The sequence below is a fragment of the Homo sapiens genome, chromosome 9 (genome assembly GCF_000001405.40).
Source record: "Homo sapiens chromosome 9, GRCh38.p14 Primary Assembly".
NCBI classification, from domain to species: domain Eukaryota; kingdom Metazoa; phylum Chordata; class Mammalia; order Primates; family Hominidae; genus Homo; species Homo sapiens.
The window spans coordinates 84518565-84545827 of NC_000009.12; the positions used below are offsets into that span (position 1 = coordinate 84518565).

Sequence of the window (27263 nt, forward strand, 5' to 3'; positions counted from 1 at the left end):
GGCTGGGGTGGCCAGCTTTTATTCCTTTGTCCCTGCCCATGTCCTGCTGATTGGTCCACTTTACAGAGTGCTGATTAGTCCATTTTACAGAGTGCTGATTGGTCCATTTTACAAACCTCTAGCTAGCCACAGAGCACTGATTGGTACATTTTTACAGAGCACTGATTGGTGCATTTTGCAAACCTCTAGCTAGCCACAGAGCACTGATTGGTGCGTTTTTACAGAGCACTGATTGGTGCATTTTACAAACCTCTTGTGAGACAGAAAAGTTTTTCAAGTCCCCACCCAACCCAGGAGCCCAGCTGCCTTCGCCTCTCAATTCTTCCAGGCCCATCTGCTGGACAATACTACTTTTTCTGGGTCCTTCTGCCTGGTCTTGCTAAATGCTGTCCTGCACATCACAGGCTGCCTCATGATTTCTCCCTTGCATCTGCCAGGGGCTACCCCTCATCCTGGTACAGACACTTCAAGCTGCCCAAGTGGATGTTATTGTGTGGAGAGGGGGAAAAAGAGACCCCACTTCCTCATGTTAAATTTGTTAGGGATGTACAGAAGCTGAGAGCCTCGTGTCTCAGTCTTTCACAATGCTTGGTAGAACAGCATTTGTAATATTCACTTTTCTTTGATTTCCCCCCTTCACCCCCACACTCATATGCCCACATAAAATTTGGACACAGATTAAGGTTTGGAGATACAGTTTTTATAACATAGCACTTGGCTTTTCTACCAACTCGAGGTTGTCTCACTGTTCCTTTCTTATAAGTCCTTTCCTGTAAAAATTTTTAGGCCCTTATGGAATAGACTTTTCTGTAAGGCCACACCTGACTGGTTTATCAGACAGGATCTTACAGTCCTTCCCCAGCATGGGACATGCTGAACTATAGCTCCCCGTGTGGCTCCATTCTCCTCAGCTCCATGAATATCTGAGGACATACTTTGTTTTCTCTTAATGTCGCTTGAACCCTATTCAGACCATCTGGGAGAACCAATGACTCATTTAGTGCAGTGGAGAGCTTGTTTGTATTGTAATTAACCAGACTTACTTAAAATGTTTTATGTATTCAAGGTTTCATATATTTGTCATGTTTGCTCAGAGTCCATATTTAGGAACGTAGTATAGCTGTGTATGCATATTTGTCGTGTCTTGACGGGTCAGATTGGTCAAAATAAGAGGGAATAGCAGATCATGTTTAGGCAGAGAGTTGGTTCCAGGCCATCACCCACACAGTTGTGGAAAAACAAAAAAGCCCATAAGTAAGTATGAATAGGTTGTGAGTTTTAATCCATGATGATTAATTCACAGGTTTTACATTTGAAAAGCAGAAAAATGTTTTACATCAAAAAATAAACTTTAAATGAAACTTCTGACAAGTTTTTCAAAAGACTTTTGAAAAGAAAGTTAACAATTCTATCTTAAAGCCAACACTGCTAACAGTATTTGTATAGCATTTACTATGTGCCAGGGACTGTTTTAAGCACATTACAAATATAACCTCATTGAACCTACAGAACAGCCTTAGAATGTAGGTCCTTTTCGTTATTATGGTTCTGTAGTTCACAGCTGGATAGGGTTCATCTGCTCTTTTGCAAATCTGCACTACTGTTTAGAGAAATGGGCCATAACATACATAAGACTATTGATTTTCATTAAAATGTGTATAATTTTAAGATGTGTCTGATGATCATCATAATTTTATCCATTAGCAATTAGTACAATATTGCCCTAATCACAATTGTCTACCTAATGGTTTATTTATATAATAGTTCTCATGAGTCTTTTAGCAGAGTTCAAACATTTTAACGAATAATTTTATATTTGTCTTAGAGAAGAGGTAATATAAGGATACATGATCATTTTGTCAGATTAACTAACCTAATGAAGATAGTTGATATGAATTAAATAAGCAACTGGAAAGAAGAACAAAATCAACATTAGCAACTCAATTAGTTGACCTCTGAAAGACTGTTCATGTACATTGGCTGGTACAAAGACACTAGCCAGCCTGTACATCTATATATTATTCATGCAGATCATTCTTTATATATAGTTAATGGCATGCATGTGGCCTGGATTTTGTGGTTGGCTAACTATTCTGTCCCCATAAATATACTCCTGACTGTCAAACCAAATGTCCTGATATTTGTTTCAAAAGCTGTGGCCACTGTATGATATAACAAATACCCATAAACACTATTGGGATATCAGCGTGACTGAGTGAAACTAGAATTTTTTCCCCAGTAATCGGTAAGGTGTACCAAGTTTTTAAGAACACAAAACATGAATCAAAATCTCATTTGAAGTCTAATCCACAGTGTGAAAATGTTTAGGGTCAGATTTTCAAAATGTGACCCTATGGGACACCAGAAGATGTTCCCTGGTGAGGGTAAATGGGCAACAATGATAAAACGTGCACATGTAACTGCCTTCACTGAATTTCAGGCAGCGGGTATGGGGCTGCTTTTATTTTTAAAAGATAATTTGGCATTTTTTTTTCAGATCCACTTCTTTATTACCTTTTTGAAGAACAGGAACCTTTGTCTGGAAATTCCACAAGTATGCCTTTTGCAAGATTAAAAGTGCCACAAAGAACAAAAATGAGCCCAGGACCAGATGCATGTTAAAAGCCATCAGACACGTTAAGTTTCATCTCCATTGACCTGGTAAGCCTGCTAATATAAATATACTTTTACCTCTTTACATATTATCAGCAGTAGAAAGTACATAGCAGGTTTAGGGGAGCCAGGTGGAATATGGGTTTGAGTTCTGACTCCACCAGCTCTACAGCCTTGTGACCTGTGTGTTAGTTAATGAGTGTTTAGAATGTGAACATTTACATTTTATGCTTAGGACAAGTAGCTGATGGGAGGAGGGGTTGGAACTATGGGAGAAACTCCCCTTGAGCACTTGCCATTAGAGCAGGGCCTTCATAATAATTGGAAGCTAATAGGCCGATGTGGCCATGGTGAAGCCCTGGTGCAATCCTTGCTATTGGGGGTGGGGAGACTGGGACCCACGTGGGAAATGGTAACATAACAGCAAACGTGGAGCACTTCCAGTGTTCCACCTTATATAACACTTATCCGTGGCAGCAGGCTATTAAGGTAGATACTATCTTCATCATCTTTATTTTACAGATCTAGAAATGCAATCACTGCTAGGTAAAGTAATTTGCCTGAGATGATGCAGCCATGGTGACAGAGCTGGGATTCGAAGAGAGCCTGGCTTTAGCCTCTGTTTAATAAACTTCACACCAAATATTTCTCCCAGATCAGGAAGCCACAGCGTGCTGCTTTTTTGGGCTTCCTCTGCAACATGCTCTGGGGTACAGGTCCTGCCCTCTTATTAGTCCCAGACTGCTTTCTTATGGATGAAATGGGAATGCTGATGTCTGCTTTAAATTGTTAGTGGGATGAATGTCTGCAAAGAGTTGCTGCTCAGTGAAAGAGAAAAAGTAAACAAACAAACAAAAATCTTTTGAGCTACTTTAAGATACTTTAAGAGATATTAAAAAAAAAGTTAACAGGCTGAATAAATTCAGTAGCAAAACCCAGAAGTTTCCAAACCTAGAATTTCTTTGCTTAAACTTCATCTTTCTTGCTTTTATTCTCCTCAATATAAATTATTTTAAGTTTTTTTCTGATTCTGTGGCATGCAAAGTCTCACTAATGCAGGTCTCCATAACAACGATTTCAGTACTGACCAAGTGGTTAAGTTAAAAGCCAGTACCCTTATACAAAGGCTAGGATATAACAAAAGCCAATTAAGAGTTTTGCCTAGGTCTTTTCTGGGCCTTAGAGCATGACAAAATAACGAAGGAATTCTTAACAGGACCCATTTAGGGTTAAACAAGTTTTATTGTGGGTCTGAAGAAACTCCCCAGGCCTCCACAAAAGTTTATTGGGGGTCTGAAAGAACTCCCCAAACCTCCGTGATTTAGCAGGAGACAAGATAAGGACAATTACCCCAACACCTGGGCCCATTTAGATTAAGTAAATTTACTGAGGCTCCAGAGGAAGGTCTTCAGGACTCAGACCTTAGTTACAGCTTAAAAGAAGTTAATCACTTCTGACTGCACATTTACACGTAGACATGTAGCTTAGAAGGTATATAAGCTCTGGAAAACTTTGTAATTTTGAGTTGCTCTGGTGATAACTTCCAGGCCTTCTCCCTATTACCGGTTGCAGAAATAAAAACTCTCTTCCTCCCCAGTTCATCTGCATTTTGTTATTGGGCCATGAGAAATAGCAGCCCGACCCTCAGTTTGGTCTGGGAACAATTCCTAAAGTAAAATATTTTCATTGTAAAAAAAAATCAGATAATCAGAAAAATATAAAGAAGTGGAAATTCCCTGTAATTCTACTGCTGAGAGAAAAAGGCTGTGAAAATTTCACTGTATATCCCTTAGACTTTTCCCCATGCATTTATACATTTATAGGCGCACACGCGCGCGCACACACACACACACACACACACACGTAAAACTGGGAGAAAATGGACAAGCTGCATTTTTCACTTAATATAATGTGGACATTTTCCCATGCCAATGAATATAGTTCTATGTCTTCTTTTTTAAAATTTTTAATTTTTATGAGTACATAGTAGGTGTATATATTTATGGGGTACATGAGATACTTTGATACAGGCATGCAATGCATAATAATCACATCAGGGTAAATGGGGTATCCATTACCTCAAGCATTTATCCTTTGTGTTACAAAAAATTCAATTTTACTCTTAGTTATTTTAAAATGTACAGTTAAATAATGATTGACTATGGTCAGCCTGTTGTGCTATCAAATACTAGATCTTATTTATTCTATTTTTTTGTACCCATTAGCCATCCTCACTTTCCCTGCCCCCAACTCCTCCACTACCCTTCTCAGCCTCTGGCAACCATCATTATACTCTCTATCTCCATGAGTTCAAATGTTTCAATTTTTAGCTCCCACAAATATGTGAGAACATGGAAAGTTTGTCTTTCTGTGCCTGGCTTATTTTGCTTAACATAATTACCTCCAGTTCCATCCATGTTGCTGAAAATGACAGGATCCCATTCTTTTTTATGGCTGAATAGTACTCCACTGTGTTTATGTGAAAAATTTTCTTTATCCATTTATCTGTTGATGGACACTTAGGTTGCTTCCAAATCTTGGCTATTGTGAATAGCATTGTAATAAATATGGGAGTGCAGACATCTCTTCAACATACCGATTGCCTTTGTTATGGGTATACACCTAGCAGTGGCACTGCTCTATCATATGATAGCTCTATTTTTAGTTTTTTTGAGGAATCTTCAAACTGTTCACTATTGTGGCTGTACTAATTTACATTCCCATTAACAGTGTACAAAGGTTCCCTTTTCTCCACATCCTTACTAGCATTTGTTATTGCCTGTCTTGGATAAAAGGCATTTTGACTTGGATGAAATGATATCTCATTGTAGTTTTGATTTGCATTTCTCTGATGATCAATAATGTTGAGCAGTTTTTCATATACCTGTCTGTCCTTTTTATGTCTTTTTTTTGAGAAATGTCTATTCAGATCTTTTGTCCATTTTTTTTTTAGATTTTTTTAAAATTATACTTTAAGTTTTAGGGTACACGTGCACAACATGCAGGTTAGTTACATATGTATACATGTGCCATGTTGGTGTGCTGCACCCATTAACTCATCATTTAACATTAGGTATATCTCCTAATGCTATCCCTCCCCCCTCCCCCCACCCCACAACAGTCCCCAGTGTGTGATGTTCCCCTTCCTGTGTCCATGTGTTCTCATTGTTCAATTCCCACCTATGAGTGAGAACATGCGGTGTTTGGTTTTTTGTCCTTGCGATAGTTTGCTGAGAATGATGGTTTCGGATTATTAGATTTTTTCATATAGAGTTGCTAGAGCTCCTTATATATTCTGGTTATTAATCCCTTATCAGATGGATAGTTTGCAAATATTTTCTCCCATTCTGTGGGTTGTCTCTTCACTTTGTTGATTGTTTCCTTTCCTGTGCAGAAGCTTTTTAATTTGATGTAATCCCATGTGACCATTTTTGCTTTGGTTGCCTGTGCTTGTGGGGTATTACTTAAGAACTCTTTGCCCAGTCCAATGTCCTGGAGAGTTTCTCCAATATTTTCTTTTAGTAGTTTCACAGTTTGAGGTCTCGGGTTTAAGTCTTTAGTCAATTTTGATTTGATTTTTTTATATAGCAAGAGATAGGGATCTAGTTTCATCCTTCTGTATATGTATATCCAGTTTTCCCAGCACCATCTATAAAAGAGACTGTCCCCTCCCCAATGCATGTTGTTGGCACCTTTGTTGTTAATGAGTTCATTGCAGATATATGAATTTGTTTCTGGGTTCTCTATTCTGTTCCATTGGTCTATGTGTCTGCTTTTATGCCAGTACTATGCTATTTTGGTTACTATATCTCTGTTGTATAATTTGAAGTCAGGTGATGTGATTCCTCCAGTTTTGTTCTTTTTTGCTTAGGATAGCTTTGGCTATTCTGAGTCTTTTGTGTGTTCATATAAATTTTGGAATTGTTTTTTCTATTTTTGTGAAGAATATCATTGGTATTTTGATAGTGATTGCATTAAATCTGTAGATTGCTTTGGGTATTATGGATATTTTTAAAATATTAATTATTCCAATCCATGAATATAAAATATCTTTCCGTTTTTTGTGTCCTCTTCAATTTCTTACATCAATATTTTATAGTTTTCACTGTAAAGATCCTTCACTTCTTTGGTTAATTCCTAGGTATTTAATTTTATTTGTGGCTATTATGAGTGGAATTTCTCTTTAAGTTTCTTTTTCAGATTGTTCATTGCTGGCATATAGAAATGCTGCTGATTTTTGTATGTTGCTTTTGTATCCTGCAACTTTAATTTGTTTAAGTTCTAACAGTTTTTTAGTGGAGTCTTTAGGTTTTTCCAAATGTAAGATATCATCTGCAAATAAGGATAATTTGTCTTCTTCCTTTTCAATTTGGGTACGCTTTATTTCTTTTTCTTGTATCATTACTCTAGCAGGATTTTGAGTACTATGTTGAATAGCAGTGGTGACAGTGTGTATCCTTGTCATGTTCCAGATCTTAGAGGAAAGGATTTCAGTTTTTTCCCATTAAGTATGATACTAGCTGTTGGTTTCTCATATATGGCTTTTATTATGTTGAGGTATGTTACGTCTATACCCTGTTTTTTTTTTTTTTTTTAAGTATTTATTGATCATTCTTGGGTGTTTCTCAGAGGGGGGGATGTGGCAGGGTCATAGGATAATAGTGGAGAGAAGGTCAGCAGATAAACACGAGAACAAAGGTCTCTGGTTTTCCTAGGCAGAGGTCCCTGCGGCCTTCGGCCCTGTTTGTGTCCCTGGGTACTTGAGATTAGGGAGTGGTGATGACTCTTAATGAGCATGCTGTCTTCAAGCATCTGTTCAACAAAGCACATCTTGCACCGCCCTTAATCCATTTAACCTTGAGTTGACACAGCACATGTTTCAGAGAGCAGGGGGTTGGGGGTAAGGTTATAGTTTAACAGCGTCCCAAGGCAGAAGAATTTTTCTTAGTACAGAACAAAATGGAGTCTCCTATGTCTACTTCTTTCTACACAGACACAGTAACAATCTGATCTCTCTTTCTTTTCCCCACATTTCCCCCTTTTCTTTTCAACAAAACCGCCATCGTCATGATGGCCCATTCTCGATGGTTGCTGTCTCTTCGGAGCTGTTGGGTACACTTCCCAGACAGGGCGGCCTGGCAGAGGCGCTCCTCACTTCTCAGATGGGGCGGCCGGGCAGAGGCGCTCCTCACTTCCCAGATGGGGCGGCCGGGCAGAGGCGCTCCTCACTTCCCAGACAATGGGCGGCCGGGCAGAGGCGCTCCCCACCTCCCAGACGGGGCGGCTGGGCAGAGGCGCTCCCCACCTCCCAGACGGGGCAGCCGGGCAGAGGCGCTCCCCACCTCCCAGACGAAGAGCGGCAGGGCAGAGGCACTCCCCACCTCCCAGACGAAGAGCGGCAGGGCAGAGGCACTCCCCACCTCCCAGACGAAGAGCGGCAGGGCAGAGGTGCTCCCCACCTCCCAGACGGGGCAGCTGGGCAGAGGCGCTCCCCACCTCCCAGACGGGGCGGCCGGGCAGAGGCGCTCCCCACCTCCAAGATGAAGAGCGGCCAGGCAGAGGCGCCCCCCACTTCCCAGACGGGGCGGCCGGACAGAGGCGCCCCCCACTTCCCAGACGGGGCGGCCGGACAGAGGCGCCCCCCACTTCCCAGATGGGACGGCCGGGCAGAGGCGCCCCCCACATCCCAGACAGGGCAGCCGGGCAGAGGCGCCCCTCACCTCCCAGACGGGGCGGCCGGGCAGAGGCGCCCTCACCTCCCAGACAGGGTGGCCGGGCAGAGGCGCCCCTCACCTCCCAGACGGGGCGGCTGGGCAGAGGCACTCCCCACCTCCCAGACGGGGTGGCTGGGCAGAGACGCCCCTCACCTCCCAGATGGGGCGACCGGGCAGAGGTGCCCACTTCCCCGACGGGGCGGCCGGGCAGAGGCGCCCCTCACCTCCCAGGCGGGGTGGCCGGGCAGAGGTGCTCCCCACCTCCCAGACGAAGGGTGGCCGGGCAGAGGTGCCCCTCACTTCCTAGGCGGGGCGGCCGGGCAGAGACGCCCCTCACCTCCCAGACGGGGTGGCGGCCGGGCTGAGGCGCTCCTCACTTCCCAGATGGGGTGGCGGCTGGGCAGAGGCGCCCCTCACCTCCCAGACGGGGCGGCCATGCAGAGGCGCCCCTCATCTCCCAGACAGGGCGGCCGGGCAGAGGTGCTCCCCACTTCCCATTCGGGGCAACCGGGCAGAGGCGCTCCTCACTTCCTCCCAGACGGGGCGGCTGGGCAGAGGCGCTCCTCACTTCCCAGATGGGGCGGCCGGGCAGAGGCGCTCCTCACATCCCAGACGATGGGCGGTCGGGCAGAGACGCTCCTCACTTCCTAGATGGGGTGGCGGCCGGGCAGAGGCGCTCCTCACTTCCCAGACGGGGTGGCCAGGCAGAGGGGATCCTCACATCCCAGACGATGGGCAGCCGGGCAGAGACGCTCCTCACTTCTTCCTCCCAGACGGGGTGGCCGGGCAGAGATGCTCCTCACTTCCTAGATAGGGTGGCGGCCGGGCAGAGGCGCTCCTCACTTCCCAGATGGGGTGGCTGGGCAGAGGGGCTCCTCACATCCCAGACGATGGGCGGCCAGGCAGAGACGCTGCTCACTTCCTAGACGGGGTGGCAGGCGGGCAGAGGCTGTAATCTTAGCACTTTGGGAGGCCAAGGCAGGCGGCTGGGAGGTGGAGGTTGTAGCGAGCTGAGATCATGCCACTGCACTCCAGCCTGGGCAACATTGAGCATTGAGTGAGTGAGACTCCGTCTGCAATCCCAGCACCTCGGGAGGCCGAGGTGGGGAGATCACCCGAGGCCAGGAGCTGGAGACCAGCCCGGTCAACACGGCAAAACCCCGTCTCCACCAAAAATACAAAAACCAGTCAGGAGTGGTGGTGTGTGCCTGGAATCCCAGGCACTCAGCAGGCTGAGGCAGGAGAATCACCGGAGCCCGAGGCAGGGAGGTTGCAGCGAGCCGAGATCATGGCAGTACAGTCCAGGCTCCGCAAGAGAGGGAGACCGTAGAAAGAGGGAGACGGAGAGCCAGAGGGCAGAGGCAGACCCCAGTTTTTTTTTAAATCATAAAGTGATGTTGAATTTTATCAAATGCTTTTTCAACATCAGTTGAAAGGATTATATGGTTTTTGTCCTTCATTCTGTTGACATAATGTATCACATTGATTGATTTATGTATACTGAACTCTCCTTGCATCCGTGGAATAAATTCCACTTGATCATCATAAATGATCATTTTAAGGTGTTGTGGAATTTGATTTGCTAGTATTGTGTTGAAGATTTTTGCATCAAAGTTCATCAGGGATACTGGCCTGCAGCTTTCTCTTTTTGATATGTGTTTGGTTTTGGTATCAGGGCAATATTGGCCTCTTAGAATGTATTTCAAAAGCATTAATTCTTCTTTAAATGTTTTGTAGAATTCAGCAGTGAAGCCACTGAGGTCAGGGCTTTTCTCTACTGGGAGACTTTTTATTATGTCTTCGATCTTGTTACTTGTTATTGGTCTATTCAGGTTTTGGATTTTTTTTTTTTTTATGGTTCAGTCTTTGTAGGTTGTATGTGTCTAGGGATTTATCTACTTCTAGCTTTTCCAATTTATTGGCATATAGTTCCTCACAGTAGCCTCTAATGATCCTTTGAATTTCTGTGGTATCAGTTGTAATGTCTCATTTTTCATCTCTGATTCTATTTATTTATTCTTTTTTTTTCTCAGTCTGGGTAACAGTTTGCCAATTTTGTTTATCTTTTCGAAATACCAACTTTTTATTTCACTGATCTTTTTTGTTGTTTTCTTCATTTCAATTTCATTTATTTCCACTCTGATCTTTACTATTTCTTTTGTTCTACTAATTTTGAGTTTGGTTTGCTCTTGCTTTTCTAGTTCCTTAAGATGCCTTGTTAGGTTGTTTATTTGAGGTTTTTCTACTTTTTTGATGTAGGCACTTATAGCTAAGAACTTCTCTCTTAGTACTGCTTTCGTTGCATCCCATATGTTTTGGTATGTAGTGTTTCAATTATCATTTGTTTCAAGAAATTTTTCAATTTTTTTCTTCATTGATCCACTGGTCATTCAGAAGCACATTGCTTAATTCGTACCTGTGGGTATGGTTTCCAAAATTTCCCGTTATTGATTTATTCCACTGTGGTCAGAGAAGACACTTACTATTATTTCTTGGTATGTTTTAAGACTTGTTTTGTGGCCTGACATATGGTCTGTCCTTGAGAATGATCCCTGTGCTGAGAAGATAGTGTATTCTGTAGCTATTGGAGGAAACGTTCTGTAAATGTCAATTTAGTCTATAGGACAGATTAAGTCCAATGTTTCTTAGTTGATTTTCTTTCTGGATGATCTGTCCAATGCTGCAAGTCTCCAGCTATTATTCTATGGGGGTCTCTCTCTCTCTCTTTAGCTCTAATAATATTTGTTTTATATATCTGAGTGCTCCAAGGTGCATATATAGTTACAATTGTTATATCCTGTTACTGAATCGATCTCTTTATAATTATATAGAGATGCTGTCTCTTTTTATAGTTTTGTATTGAAGTCTATTTTGTCTGATGTAAGTACAGCTACTCCTGCTTTTGTTGGTTCTCATTGGTATGGAATATCTTTTTCTATCCCTTTATTTTCAGTCTCTGTGTGTTTTCATAGGTGAAGCGTGTTTTTTGTAGGCGACAGATTATTGCATCTTGTTTTTAAAATACATTCAGCCAGTCTATATCTTTTGATTGGAGAGCTTAGTTTATTTACATTCAATGTCATTATTGACAGGTAAGGACTTACTTCTGCCATTTGGTTGTTTTCTTGTTTTGTGGTCTTTTCTTGCTTTTTTTCTTTCTTCCTGTCTTCCTTTTAGTGAAGGTGATTTTCTGAGATGGTGTGTTTTAATTTTCTGCTCATTTGTTTTTATTTATTTTATTTTTATTATACTTTAAGTTCTAAGGTACATGTGCACAATGTGCAGGTTTGTTACATATGTATACATGTGCCATGTTGGTGTGCTGCACCCATTAATTCATCATTTACATTAGGTGTATCTCCTAATGCTATCCCTCCCTCCTCCTCCCACCCCACGACCCGCCCCAGTGTGTGATGTTCCCCTTCCTGTGTCCAAGTGTTCTCATTGTTCAATTCCCACCTATGAGTGAGAACATGCGGTGTTTGGTTTTTTGTCCTTGTGATAGTTTGCTGAGAATGATGGTTTCCAGCTTCATCCATGTCCCTACAAAGGACATGAACTCATCCTTTTTTATGGCTGCATTCTATGTGCATATACACATAGAAAATGTGTATATGTGCCACATTTTCTTAATCCAGTCTATCGTTGATGGACATTTGGCTTGGTTCCAAGTCTTTGCTATTGTGAATAGTGCCGCAATAAACATACATGTGCATGTGTCTTTATAGCAGCATGATTTATAATCCTTTGGATATATACCCAGTAATGGGATCACTGGATCAAATGGTATTTCTAGTTCTAGATCCTTGAGGAATTGCCACACTGTCTTCCACAATGGTTGAACTAGTTTACAGTCCCACCAACAGTGTAAAATTGTTCCTGTTTCTCCACATCCTCTCCAGCACCTGTTGTTGCCTAACTTTTTAATGATCACCATTCTAACTGGTGTGAGATGGTATCTCATTGTGGTTTTGATTTGCATTTCTCTGATGGCCAGTGATGATGAGCATTTATTCGTGTGTCTGTTGGCTGCATAAATGTCTTCTTTTGAGAAGTGTCTGTTCATATCCTTTGCCCACTTCTTGATGGGGTTGTTTTTTTTTGCTTGTAAATTTGTTTAAGTTCCTTGTAGATTCTGGATATTAGCCCTTTGTCAGATGAGTAGATTGCAAAAATTTTCTCCCATCCTGTAGGTTGCCTGTTCACTCTGATGGTGGTTTCTTTTGCTGTGCAGAAGCTCTTTAGTTTAATTAGATCCCATTTGTCAATTTTGGCTTTTGTTGCTATTGCTTTTGGTGTTTTAGACATGAAGTCCTTGTCCATGCCTATGTCCTGAATGGTATTGCCTAGGTTTTCTTCTAGGGTTTTTATGGTTTTAGGTCTAACGTTTTAAGTCTTTAATCCATCTTGAATTAATTTTTGTATAAGGTGTAAGGTAGGAATCCAGTTTCAGTTTTCTACATATGGCTAGCCTGTTTTCCCAGCACCATTTATTAAATAGGGAATCCTTTCCCCATTTCTTGTTTTTGTCAGGTTTGTCAAAGATCAGATGGTTGTAGATGTGTGGTATTATTTCTGAGGCCTCTGTTCTGTTCCATTGGTCTATATCTCTGTTTTGGTACCAGTACCATGCTGTTTTGGTTACTTTAGCCTTGTAGTATAGCTTGAAGTCAGGTAGCGTGATGCCTCCAGCTTTGTTCTTTTGGCTTAGGATTGTCTTGGCAATGCGGGCTCTTTTTTGGTTCCATATGAACTTTAAAGTAGTTTTTTCCAATTCTTCGAAGAACGCCATTGGTAGCTTGATGGGGATGGCATTGAATCTATAAATTACCTTGGGCAATGTGGCCATTTTCACGATATTGATTCTTCCTATCCATGAGTATGGAATGTTCTTCCATTTGTTTGGGTCCTCTTTTATTTCATTAAGCAGTGGTTTGTAGTTTTCCTTGAGAGGTCCTTAATATCCCTTGTAAGTTGGATTCTTAGGTATTTTATTCTCTTTGAAGCAGTTGTGAATGGGAGTTCACTCATGATTTGGCTCTCTGTTTGTCTGTTATTGGTGTACAGGAATGCTTGTGATTTTTGCACATTGATTTTGCATCCTGAGACTTTGTTGAAGTTGCTTCTCGGCTTAAAGAGATTTTGGGCTGAGACGATGGGGTTTTCTAAGTATACAATCATGTCATCTGCAAACGGGCAATTTGACTTCCTCTTTACCGAATTGAATACCCTTTATTTCTTTCTCTTGCCTGATTGCCCTGGCCAGAACTTCCAACACTATGTTGAATAGGAGTGGTGAGAGAGGGCATCCCTGTCTTGTGCCGGTTTTCAAAGGGAATGCTTCCAGTTTTTGCCCATTCAGTATGATATTGGCTGTGGGTTTGTCATAAATAGCTCTTATTATTTTGAGATACATCCCATTAATACCGAATTTATTGAGAGTTTTTAGGATGAAGGGCTGTTGAATTTTGTCAAAGGCCTTTTCTGCATCTATTGAGATAATCATGTGGTTTTTGTCTTTGGTTCTGTTTATATGCTGGATTATGTTTATTGATTTGCATATGTTGAACCAGCCTTGCATCCCAAGGATGAAGCCCACTTGAACATGGTGGATAAGCTTTTTGATGTGCTGCTGGATTTGGTTTGCCAGTATCTTATTGAGGATTTTTGCATTAATGTTCATCAGGGATATTGGTCTAAAATTCTCTTTTTTTGTTGTGTCTCTGCCAGCCTTTGGTATCAGGATGATGCTGGCCTCATAAAATGAGTTAGGGAGGATTCCCTCTTTTTCTGTTGATTGGAATAGTTTCAGAAGGAATGGTACCAGCTCCTCCTTGTACCTTTGGTAGAATTCAGCTGTGAATCCATCTGGTCCTGGACTTTTTTTGGTTGGTAGGCTATTAATTATTGCCTCAGTTTCAGAGCCTGTTATTGGTCTATTCAGGGATTCAACTTCTTCCTGGTTTAGTCTTGGGTGGGTGTATGTGTCCAGGAATTTATCCATTTCTTCTAGATTTTCTAGTTTATTTGCATAGAGGTGTTTATAGTGTTCTCTGATGGTAGTTTTTATTTCTGTGGGATCGGTGGTAATACCTCCTTAATCATTTTTTATTGTGTGTATTTGATTCTTCTCTCTTTTCTTCTTTATTAGTCTTGCTGGCAGTCTATCAATTTTGTTGATCTTTTCAAAAAACCGGCTCCTGGATTCATTGATTTTTTGAAGGGTTTTTCATGTCTCTATCTCCTCCAGTTCTGCTCTGATCTTAGTTATTTCTTGCCTTCTGCTAGCTTTTGAATGTGTTTGCTCTTGCTTCTCTAGTTCTTTTAATTGTGATGTTAGGGTATCAATTTTAGATCTTTCCTGCTTTCTCTTGTTGGCATTTAGTGCTATAAATTTCCCTCTACACACTGCTTTAAACGTGTCCCAGAGATTCTGGTATGTTTTGTCTTTGTTCTCATTGGTTTCAAAGAACATCTTTATTTCTGCCTTCATTTTGTTATGTACCCAGTAGTCATTCAGGAACAGGTTGTTCAGTTTCCATGTAGTTGAGTGGTTTTGAGTGAGTTTCTGAATCCTGAGTTCTAGTTTGATTGCACTGTGGTCTGAGAGACAGTTTGTTTTAATTTCTGTTATTTTACTTTTGCCGAGGAGTGCTTTACTTCCAACTATGTGGTCAATTTTGGAATAAGTGCGATGTGGTGCTGAGAAGAATGTATATTCTGTTGCTTTGGGGTGGAGAGTTCTGTAGATGTCTATTAGGTTCGCTTGGTGCAGAGCTGAGTTCAATTCCTGGATATCCTTATTAACTTTCTGTCTTGTTAATCTGTCTAATGTTGACAGTGGGGTGTTAAAGTCTCCCATTATTATTGTGTGGGAGTCTTAGTCTCTTTGTAGGTCTCTAAGGACTTGCTTTATGAGTCTGGGTGCTCCTGTACTGGGTGCATATATATTTAAGATAGTTAGCTCTTCTTGTTCAATTGATCCCTTTACCATTATGTAATGGCCTTCTTTGTCTCTTTTGATCTTTGTTTGTTTTAAGTCTGTTTTATCAGAGACTAGGATTGCAACCCATGCCTTTTTTTATTTTCCATTTGCTTGGTAGGTCTTCCTCCATCCTTTTATTTTGAGCCTATGTGTGTCTCTGCACGTGAGATGGGTCTCCTGAATACAGCACACTGATGGGTCTTGATTCTTTATCCAATTTGCAAGTCTGTGTCTTTTAAGTGGAGCATTTAGCCCATTTACATTTAAGGTTAATATTGTTATGTGTGAATTTGATCCTGTCATGATGATGTTGGCCGGTTATTCTGCTCGTTAGTTGATGCAGTTTCTTCCTAACATCGATGGTCTTTACAATTTGGCATGTTTTTGCAGTGGCTGGTACTGGTTGTTCTTTTCCATGTTTAGTGCTTCCTTCAGGAGCTCTTTTAGGGCAGGCCTGGTGGTGACCAAATCTCTCAGCATTTGCTTGTCTGTAAAGGATTTTATTTCTCCTTCACTTATGAAGCTTAGTTTGGCTGGATATGAAATTCTGGGTTGAAAATTCTTTTGTTTAAGAATGTTGAATATTGGCCCCTACTCTCTTCTGGCTTGTAGAATTTCTGCTGAGAGATTCACTGTTAGTCTGATGGGCTTCCCTTTGTGGGTAACCCTACCTTTCTCTCTGGCTGCCCTTAACATTTTTTCCTTCATTTCAACTTTGGTGAATCTGACAATTATGTGTCTTGGAGTTGCTCTTCTTGAGGAGTATCTTTGTGGCATTCTGTGTATTTCCTGAATTTGAATGTTGGCCTGCCTTGCTAGATTGGGGAAGTTCGCCTGGATAATATCCTGCAGAGTGTTTTCCAACTTGGTTCCATTCTCCCCATCACTTTCAGGTACACCAGTCAGATGTAGATTTGGTCTTTTCACATAGTCTCACTTTTTTTTTTTTGAGACAGAGTCTTGCTCTATCACCCAGGCTGGAGTGCAGTGGCGTGAACTGGGCTCACTGCAAGCTCCGCCTCCCGGGTTCACGCCATTCTTCTGCCTCAGTCTCCCGAGTAGCTGGGACTACAGGCACCTGCCACCACGCTCAGCTAATTTTTTTGTATTTTCAGTAGGGACGGGGTTTTGCCATGTTAGCCAGGATGGTCTCGATCTCCTGACCTCCTGATCCACCCGCCTCGGCCTCCCAAAGTGCTGGAATTACAGGCGTGAGCCACCGTGCCCAGCCCATAGTCCCATATTTCTTGGAGGCTTTGTTCGTTTCTTTTAATCTTTTTTCTCTAAATTTCTGTTCTTGCTTCATTTCATTCATTTGATCTTCATTCACTGATACCCTTTCTTCCAGTTGATCAAATTGGCTACTGAAGCTTGTGCATTCGTCACGTAGTTCTTGTGCCATGGTTTTCAGCTCCATCAGGTCATTTAAGGACTTCTCTACACTGGTTATTCTAGTTAGCCATTCGTCTAATCTTTTTTCAAGATTTTTAGCTTCTTTGCGATGGGTTCAAACTTCCTCCTTTAGCTCAGAGAAGTTTGATCATCTGAAGCCTTCTTCTCTCAACTCGTCAAAGTCATTCTCCATCTATCTTTGTTCCGTTGCTGGTGAGGAGCTGCGTTCCTTTGGAGGGGGAGAGGCACTCTGATTTTTAGAATTTTCAGCTTTTCTGCTCTGTTTTTTCTCCGTCTTTGTGGTTTTATCTACCTTTGGTCTTTGATGATGGTGACGTACAGAAGGGGTTTTGGTGTGGATGTCCTTTCTGTTTGTTAGTTTTCCTTCTAACAGTCAGGACCCTCAGCTGCACGTCTGTTGGAGTTTGCTGGAGGTCCAGTCCAGACACTGTTTGCCTGGGTATCAGCAGCGGAGGCTGCAGAACAGTGAATATTGCTGAACAGCCAATGTTGCTGCCTGATAGTTCCTCTGGAAGCTTCATCTCAGAGGGGTACCTGGCCATGTGAGATGTCAGTCTGCCCCTACTAGAGGGTGTCTCCCAGTTAGGCTACTCAGGGGTCTGGGACCCACTTGAGGGGGCAGTCTGTCCGTTCTCAGATCTCAAACTCTGTGCTGGGAGAACCACCACTCTCTTCAAAGCTGTCAGACAGGGACATTTAAGTCTGCAGAGGTTTCTGCTGCCTTTTGTTCGGCTTTGCCCTGCCCCCAGAGGTGGAGTCTACAGAGGCAGGCAGGCCTCCTTGAGCTGTGGTGTGCCCCACCCATTTCGAGCTTCCTGGTGGCTTTGTTTACCTACTCAAGCCTCAGCAATGGTGGGCGCCCCTCCCCCAGCCTCGCTGCTGCCTTGCAGTTCGATCTGAGACTGCTGTGCTAGCAGTGAGCGAGGCTTCATGGGCCTGGGACCCTCCAAGCCAGGCGTGGGATGTAATCTCCTGTGTGCTGTTTGCTAAGACCGTTGGAAAAGCGCAGTATTACAGTGGGGGTGATCCGATTTTCTAGGTGTCTGCTTTTTATTTTTAATGAACTTGTATGTCTTTTGATTTGAGGTTATCATGAGGGCTGCAAATAATATCTTATATCCATTATTTTAAACTGATGACATGTTAACACTGATTGCATAAACAAAGAAGCAAGCAAAGAGAAAACTAATAAAAACTCTATACTTTAACTTCATCCGCCTACTCTTTAACTTTTAACTTTTGTTTTTTCTATTTATATCTTATCATGTTATCTATGTTTTAAAAAGTTGTAGTTATTTTTGATCAGTTGATCTTTTAGTCTTCTACTCAGGATATGAGTAGTTTCCACATCATACATATCATAATGACAGTGTTATAATATTCTTTTTTTCTGTGTATTTTGAGGTTTTTTGTTTTGTTTTGTTTTAACATGGAGTCTCCCCCTGTCACTCAGGCAGGAGTACAGTGGCACCATCTCAGCTCACTGCAACCTCTGTCTCCCTGGTTCAAGCAATTCTTCTGCCTCAGCCTTCCAAGTAGCTGAGATTACAGGCTGATTTTTATATTTTTAGTAGAGATGGGGTTTCTCCATGTTGGTCATGCTGGTCTTGAACTCCTGACCTCAGGTGATCTGCCCGCCTCGGCCTGATCCCTAGTGCTGGGATTACAGGCATGAGCCACCATGCCTGGCCTGTACTTTGAGTTTTATAACTTCAGATGATTTCTTATTGCTCATTAATGTCTTTTCAGATTATTATTCTTTCATATTGAAGAACTCTTTTTAGTATTTCTTGACGGACAAGTCTGGTGTTGATAAAAATCCCCCAGCATTTGTTTGTCTTGAAAGTCTTTATTTTGCTTTCATATTTGAAGCAGATTTTATATAGACATACTATTCTAGGGTAAAAGTTTTTTTCCTTTAGCACTTCAGATATGTCATACCCTCTCACCCAGCCTGTAAGATTTCCACTAAAAAGTCTGCTGCCAGATGTACTGGAGCTCCTTTGTACATTATTTGTTTCTTTTCTCTTACTGCTTTTAGGGTCCTTTCTTTAACCTTGACCCTTGGGAATTTGATTATTAAATGCCTTGAGGTTATCTTTTTTGGGTTAAATGTGCTTGGTGTTCTATAACCTTCTTATACTTGAATATTGATGTATTTCTCTAGGCTTGGGAAGTTCTCTGTCATTATCCCTTTGAATAACCTTTCTACCCCCATTTCTTTCTCTACCTCCTCTTTAAGGCCAGCGACTCTAAGAAGATTTGCCCTTTTGAGGCTATTTTCTAGATCTTGTAGACAGGCTGCGTTCTTTTAAATTCTTTTTTTTCTTTTGTCTTTGACTGTGTTTTCAAATAGCCTGTCTTCAAGCTCACTAGTTTTTTCTTCTGCTTGATCAATTCTGGTATTAAGAGACTCTGATGCATTCTTTAGTATGTCAGTTGCATTTTTCAACTCCAGAATTTCTGCTTCTTCCTTTTTAATTATTTCAATCTTTTTGTTAAATTTATCTGATAGGATTCTGAGTTCCTTCTCTACTATCTTGGAAGTTTCACTGAGTTTCCTCAACACAGCTATTTTGAATTCTCTATCTGAAAGGTCTTTGTTTTTCTGGGGTTAGCCCCTTGTGTCTTATTTAGTTCATTTGGTGAGGTGATGTTTTCCTGGATAGTTTTGATGCTTGTGAATGTTCTTCAGTGTCTGGGCATTAAAGAGTTAGGTATTTATTGCAGTCCTGAAAAGGTATTTATTGCAGTTTCCCAACTGTAAAGTTGGGAAAACTTTACAGGTATTCAAAGGGACTTGGGTGTTGTGATCTACATTTTTGGTCACTGCAGCCATATCTACATTTAGGGGGAACTTCAAGCCCAGTAATGCTGTGGCTCTCACAGACTTGTAGAGGTATTGCCTTGGTGGTCTTGGGTACAATCCAGAAGATTTCTCTGGATTACCAGGGAGAGACTCTTGTTCTTTTCTCTTACTTACTTCCAAATAAATAGACTCACTCTCTTTGGGCTGAGCTGCCTGGAGCTGGAGGGGTGGTACAAGCTCCCCTGTGGCCACCACCACTGGGACTGTGCTGTGTCAGACCTGAAACCATCAGAGCACTGGATCTCAACCAAGGCTCACTGTAACCATTACCTGGCTACTGCTTATGTTCACTCGATGCCTAGGGCTCTACAGTCAGGTAGTGGTGAAGCCAGCCTGGCTAGTGTCTTTTCAGGGTGGTGAGCTCCCCCTGGCTCCAGGTGGGTCTAGAGATACTGTCTGGGAGCCAGGGTCTGGAGTTGGAAATCTTAGGAATCTACCTGCTGCTCTATTCTACTGCAGCTGAGCTGGCACCCGAGCCACAAGATAAAGTCCTTCCCACTCTTCTGTACCCTTTCCACAAGCAGAAGAGTCTCTCCCCACGGTCACTGCCACCACAGGCCCATGGGGAGCACTGCCAGGCCACTACTGATGTTCATGTAAGGCCCAAGGGCTCTTTAGTCAGCTTCTGGTGAATGCTTATATGCCTGGGATTCACCCTTCAGGGCCGTGGGTTCCCCTCTGGCCCAGGGCTGGTTCAGAAGTGCTAACCAAGAGCCAAGGCCAGGAATCAGGGTCCCCAAAAGCCCACTTGGTGCTCTACCTCACTGTGGCTGAGCTGGTACCTAAACTGCAGGACAAAGTCCCATTTACTCTTCCCTTTGCTTTTCTCAAGCAGAAGGAGTCTCTCACCACAGCCACCACATCTATGCATGTGCTGAGTCACATGTGAAGCCAGCACATCTCAGAGTCTCACCGAAAGCTCATGGTATGTACTACCTGTCTACTGCTATTGATTATTCAGTGCCCAAGGGCTCTTTAGTCAGCAAGTCATGAGTCCTACCAGGACTAGGTCCTTCCCTTCCTGACAGTAGGTTCCCCTTCTGGCCCAGAGTGGGTCTAAAAGTGTTGTCCAGGAGGTAGGGCCTAGAATGAGGACATTATGACCCTGCCTAGTGCCTTGTTCTACTGTGGCTGAGCTGGTATCCAAGTTGGAGGACAAAACCCCTCTCCTCTCCTCAAGTGGAATGAGAAAGTCTTTTTCAGAGTTGCAAGCTGTTCTGCCTGGGGTTGGTGGGAGAGTTGGAACAAGCACTCCTTTGGCTACCCCAACTTGTGTCTCCCTAGGTCATGTGCTCCCCAAGTCCACGGGCTTTGAGCCCAGCACAGCACTCAGACTTGTCTAGGAGTTGCAGTCCTTGTGGCCTAGACTGCCCTTCAAGGTTTTTTAGACCCATAGAGCACTTTAGTCCGTGGTGGAGAGGCTTACCAGAACTCAGGTTCTGACCATTGGGATGGATGATTCCCCTCTTGCTAGGGCTTTTCTAAATGTTCTCTCCATGGGCGACGCCCGAGTTTTGCCCAGTATTGCTTTCTGCTGTGACAGGGCAGCACTGAGTTCCAATGCAAAGTCCCACAATCACTGTGTTCTCCCTCCCCAAGTTGCACAGATTCTCTCTCCATGCCATGTGGCCACTAACAGGAGAGAGGGGAAGGGTAGCTTTGGCAACTAAAGCCAAACTACCCTCTTTCCTGCTGCTTTCGGTGCTATGAGGTTAAAACCAAGTGCTATGATTGCTCATCTGATTTTTGGTTCTTATGAATGTGCAATTTTGTGTAGATAGTTGTTGAAGTTGGTATTCCTGTGAGAAAGATGATAGGTGGAGGCTTCTATTTAGCTATGTTGCTTTGCCTCTTCGTATGCCTTCATTTTTAATTATTCCAGAGTGCTTTATTGGGTGTGTCTCACAATTTCCTTAGAAGTTCCACTGTTGAATAACACTTCCATTGTTTGATTTATAGCTATTATAAACAAGCCTGAGATGATTAAAGGTAAATTCAGGCACTCCTGCTTGATTATTTTCTTAGGATAACTCCTAGAAATGAAATTCTTTGATCAAAAAGTATTCTTGTTTTTAGGGATTTTAATATATTAATGGATTTTGTCAATTCTTTCCCCCATCCCAATTGCATTGCTGTTTCACTTTCATCACCCAGTAAAAGAGTGCTTGTTTCCCCAAATACATAGCAATGTTGGATCAGTGACATTGAGTGTTCACTCAAATTTTTACCAATGTGTTAAGTAAAATTTAAAAAAGAAAAATAATAAATTTATATTTTATTCTTTTAATTTGCATTTCCTTGTTTACTATTAAAGTAGTACTTTTCTCAGTTGTGTTTACTAGTCATTTGTATGTCTTCCTTTGGGAAGTGACTATTTATGCCCATTTTCCATTTTTTTTTATTAATTCATTTTACATTTTATTTTATTGTCGTTTCAGTGGGTACATGTAGATGTTTGTTACATGGATATGTTATGTAACAGCCGAGTTGGGCTTCTAGTGTACCTGTTATGCAAATAGTGACCATTGTTCCCAATAGGAAATTTTTTAACCCTTATCCTCCTCTCAGCCTCCCTCACTTTTGAAGTCCCCATTGTCTATTGTTTCCACTTTTATGTTCATGTGTACCCATTGTTTGGCTCCCACTTGAGAGCAGGTGGCATTTTGCTTTCTGCTTCTGAGTTATTTCATGTAGGATAATGGCCTCCAGCTCCATCCATGTTGCTGTAAAAAACATGATTTTTTTATGGCTGCATAGTATTCCATGGTATATATACCACATTTTCTTTATCCAATCACCTACTGATGGACACTTAGGTTGAGTCTGTGACTTTGTTATCGTGAATAGTGTTTTGACAAATTTATGAGCGCAATTGTGTTTTCGTTGTATAGTAATTTCTTTTTCTTTGGGTAGATACCCAGTAATATGATTGCTGGGTTAAATGGTAGTTCTTTTTTTTTTTTTTTTTTTTTTTTTGAGACAGAGTCTTGCTCTGTCACCCAGGCTGGAGAACCGTGGCATGATCTTGGCTCACTGCAGCTTCCACCTCCTGGATTCAAGCGATTCTCCTGCCTCAGCCTCCCAAGTAGCTGGGACTACAGGCACGTGCCCCCATGCCTGGCTAATTTTTTGTATTTTTAGTACAGATGGGATTTCACCATGTTAGCCAGGATATTCTCGATCTCCTGACCTCATGATCTGCCTGCTTGGCCTCCCAAAGTGCTGGGATTACAGGCGTGAGCCACTGTGCCTGGCTAGTTCTATTTTTAGTTATTTGAGAAATGTTCGTTCTGTTTTCCATAGAGATAAAACTAATTTACATTCCTACTAACAGCTTATAAGTATACTCTTTTCTGTGCATCCACAGCAACATCTGTTGTTTCTTGATTTCATAATAATGGCCATTCTGACTGGTATAAGATGATACCTCATTGTGGTTTTAATTTGCATTTTTCTGATGATTACTGGTGAGCATTTTTTCATATGTTTGTTGGCCACTTGTATGTCTTCTTTTAAGAAATGTCTATGCATGTCCTTTGCCCACTTTTTAATGGGGTTGTTTTTTTCTTGTGTTGTTTGTGTTCCTTATAGATTCTGGATATTAGTCCTTTATCAGAGGCATAATTTGCAAATATTTTCTTCCATTCTGTAGGTTGCCTGTTTACTCTGTTGATTTTTTTTCTTTTTTTTTGCTATGTAGAAGCTTTCAAGTTTAATTAAGTACCATTTGTCTATTTTTGTTTTTCTTGCATTTTGCTTTTGAAGCCTTATTCATAAATTTTTCATTTTCTTTTTGGTTATAAGTGCTTTTTATATGTTGAAAATATGAACTCTCTGTCATAGATGTTAAAACTATTTTTTCTATTTGTTGTCTTTGATTTTATGTATGATTTTTCTAACTGTACAAATGTTTAGAATTTAATGTTTTTAAACACGTCAGTTTTTCCCTTAGATTCTGCATTTGATCTTAAGCTTATGAAGTTCTTTTCTACATTAAGAATATAAAAGCATTTACCTATATTAATTTTATATTCAATGTTCAAATCTACCTTAAATTTATTTTGGTATAAGGCTGATTTAGCTAGTCCTAATTTTTCTCCCACATTAGGCCATATTTTCTGATGCCTCAGAAATATTTAGGATTTTTAGTGGGAATAAAAGCAAGATGTTGTGCTTTTCAGGTAAATATGAAATATGAGCATTCATAGCTTATAAATCATGTTTTCCTGGTAGTAGTGCTGAATTTCTGAAATGTTCATCCTGTTATTGTCAGCTTTGTCACCAAGGCCATGTTTCACTGTGATCTGGAAACACTTTTCCCTTTGACCAAAGTCTTGAGATTGGCCTTGGAGATATCATGCTTCATATAACAATTAAATTGAAAAGTCCTTGGCACTAGTGACACAATGAAGAGAGCAGAAAATCTTTCCTCTGAGTCCCATAGAAATGAAGCAACCAAACTACACTGTTGAAAACCTTCTAGGGAGGGGAGCCAACAAGAGTATAGAGAGCGATGAAGGCTGTCTATGTGCTATACCCCTGCACACACCTCATTAGCTATCACAGCTGCACGTTGGGTGGATCTTAGCTTTCTACATAGCCTGTATCAAGTTCAGGACATCTGGAAATGTCACACTTGGAAGGAGATCACACAAACCCCTGCCTGATGCAATGGAGTGGTAACTTACTGTCAAGAAAATTCTCTCTTCTATCTAGCTGATTTATGCTCATTGAAATGTGTTGGGTCCCCTTCAAATTTTGTTGGGTCTCTTGAAAACAGCTGGTGATGCGGCCTGCAAGATACTAGGCATTGCCCTCTGAGCTTCTCTTCTTTTACAAGTGAAGCCTTTTTTTATTTGGACAAAGTGACCTCATGATCTGAAGCGATTATAAAAATTAGCATGAGAGGGACAAACAGGATGTGGCATCAGATTTTCCAGACGTCCAGACAAAATCTTTTCTTTCTTTTCGAATCAGAGGATAATTAGAAACATAGAATGTGTCATATTTTTCCTTCTCTCTGTTTAAAATAGGACCTTGTGGATTAATTAAATTTATTATATGTTCTGTTTGCAAAAGAATGTATATTTATCTCCACTTGGTATTCATTTATTAATTCAATTGATATTTATTAAACACACATTATGTACAAGGACTGAAACTAGTATTTGAGTTTCTGCCAAGTACTGTGCTAGGTGCTTTTACAGATTATTTCCTCCTTTAATCTGTGTGAGAGAGATATTACAATCATATAGCATATGAAGAAACCAAGGCCCAGAGAGGTTAAGTGATTTGTTCAAGGACTTTCAGCGGGCAAGTGTTAGACCTGGGATTCAACTGTCTATATCTTAGAGTGCATGGCCCATTTTTTCCTTCCTACTCTAGGGGTGATTCTTTTTGTTTTAAATTATCTTTTTATTTCTTTCTAATTTAACCGCCTTATTGTGAGAGAACATTGCTTATATGACATCTATTCTTTGAATTTGTTGAGGTCTTCTTTGTTACCTTGTACATGGTATGTTTCTGTAAATATTCCATGTTTACTTGAAGAGATTGTATGTTTTCTGCTAGTGCAGAGTTATATATCCTTTAGATCAGGCATGTTAATTTTGTCATTTAAATTTTCTGTACCTTTAGTCTGCTGTATCTATCAGAGAGTGTTAAGATCACCTACCATGATTATATATTTGCCAAATTCTTCTTGACATTCTATTAGTTTTGAGATATATATATATGTATGTATATATAAAACTATGAATTTGTACGCAACTTATAGCCTAATGTGTGTGTATATGTGTGTACATATATACATATATGTACATGTATAACTAATAGCATAGCCTAATGTGTGTGTATATATGTGTATATATGTATATACACATATATAAATGGAAAATATAAAAACTATGAATTTGTGTGCAACTAATAGCATAGCCTAATGTGTGCGCATGTGTGTATATATGTGTATATATGTATATGTGTATATATGTATATATGTGTATATACACACATAATACACACACATTAGGCTATGCTGTTAGTTGCATACAAATTCATAGTTTTTATATTTTCCTGGTAAATTGTTCTAGTCACTATTAAGTAAGGTTCCTCTTTATCCCTCTCAATGCTTTTTCTCTTAACTTCTATTTATCTTATCCAAATATTGTTATATTAGCTTTATTTTGGCTAGATATTTTCTTGGAAAAAATATATATTCCTTCTAATTTTATGCTTTTCCATATGATTTTGTTTCAGATATGCTTTTGGTAACCAGCTCATATTTTTATTTTAAATGCATTCAGATAAATGCTGTCTTTTAATAGCAAGTTTAATTGCAAGCACTGCTGAGGCTGGACTTATTTTTTTATACTTGATTTTGTGCTCATTCACATTCTTCTAATGTGTTCCTTTTTGCTCTTTGTCTGCCTTCAGATGGACTGATAAACTTTTCTATATTCCCTTTTCACTCCTCTGCTGGTTGGCAAGCTAAAAGATTACACTTCTTTTAGTGGTTACTCCTAACATTTTAACATACATATTTAACAAAATAGTTTTCTAACAATATGGCAAGTTATATAAAATTTCTATCCTTCTGCCAGAAGTGACATGAACCTCCTTGTGCTGGAAGAACTCAGTGACTGTCATTCTGTCTTGCCATTTTGTGGAGGATTCTGGTTTTTTTCTTTTGTAGCATCTCCCTACTCGCCATCCACAGCTGCAGATCTACCCCTGTCCGCTCCCTGGCTGTCCATCCGTTTTTCTCTCTCATTTTGCGCTCACCCTTCTTGCTTACTCCTTTGCCAGGGCTCTGGCTCTGCTTGTCAGTTTGTATTTTTCTTCTGTTTTTAGTCTACAGACGTGTTTGTCTTGTGTTAGAATCAGGCTGCGACTTCTTTTTACTTTTAAAAAAAAAGTCTATCATTGTTATGTATTTGGAGGAGCAGAAATGTGTCAGATCAGAGCTCGCAGCAAGAGAGCTGTCCTGGCTGGGATTCTCAAGAATGATTTTTACAGTGTTCTAACTAGTTTGTAGGGGTCTCAAGAGAAGGCTCCTGATTGAAAAGTGCAAGTCTTTTGTTGTTGTTTATTGATCTTATATTTGAATGACTCCCATTCTACAGTCCTTTATTTATTATATTGTTTTTTTTTTTTTTTTTTCTGAGGCAGAGTTTTGCTCTTGTTGCCCAGGCTGAAGTGGCAATGGTGTGATCTCGGCTCACTGCAACCTCCACTTCCTGGATTCAAGCGATTCTCCTGCCTCAGCCTCCTGAGTAGCTGGGATTTACAGGCACCTGCCACCACGCCTGGCTAATGTTTTGTATTTTTAGTAGAGACGGGATTTCATCATGTTGGCCGGTCTTGAACTCCTGACCTCAGGTGATCCACCCACCTCAGCCTCCCAAAGTGCTGGGATTACAGGTGTGAGCTACTGCGCCTAGCCCAGTCCTTTATTTTTAACTATAACCAAGGGCTATTTACTGTCAGGATAGTCCTTAGTACATAACACACCTTTGTCAATTTGTATGATACTAGGTGGCTGTAGCCCGGCAGCTTGCAAGTGGAGGGCAGATTGCACTTCAGTCCCTGCTTGCCTCTTTGGCAGGTTTACATAAACCAAATCCCCCACACAGTGGCTCTGTTTACCAGCAACCTTACTAAACGAATTACT

At 41.1% G+C, this 27263-nt stretch overlaps 1 long non-coding RNA gene across 12 annotated transcripts in view; it reads left to right on the forward strand.

The window, feature by feature from the left end:
• Nucleotides 1-27263, forward strand: part of LOC102724036 (uncharacterized) — a 247231-nt gene that overhangs the window by 108764 nt on the left and 111204 nt on the right. For 9 of the 12 annotated variants that reach the window (XR_007061623.1, XR_007061626.1, XR_007061624.1 and 6 more), the window contains 2 exons: nt 2498-2661; nt 20427-20519. This is a non-coding gene — a long non-coding RNA (uncharacterized LOC102724036). The remainder of the gene's footprint in view (nt 1-2497; nt 2662-20426; nt 20520-27263) is intronic. The other 3 variants (XR_930042.2, XR_001746805.1, XR_007061628.1) reach the window with 2 other exon arrangements.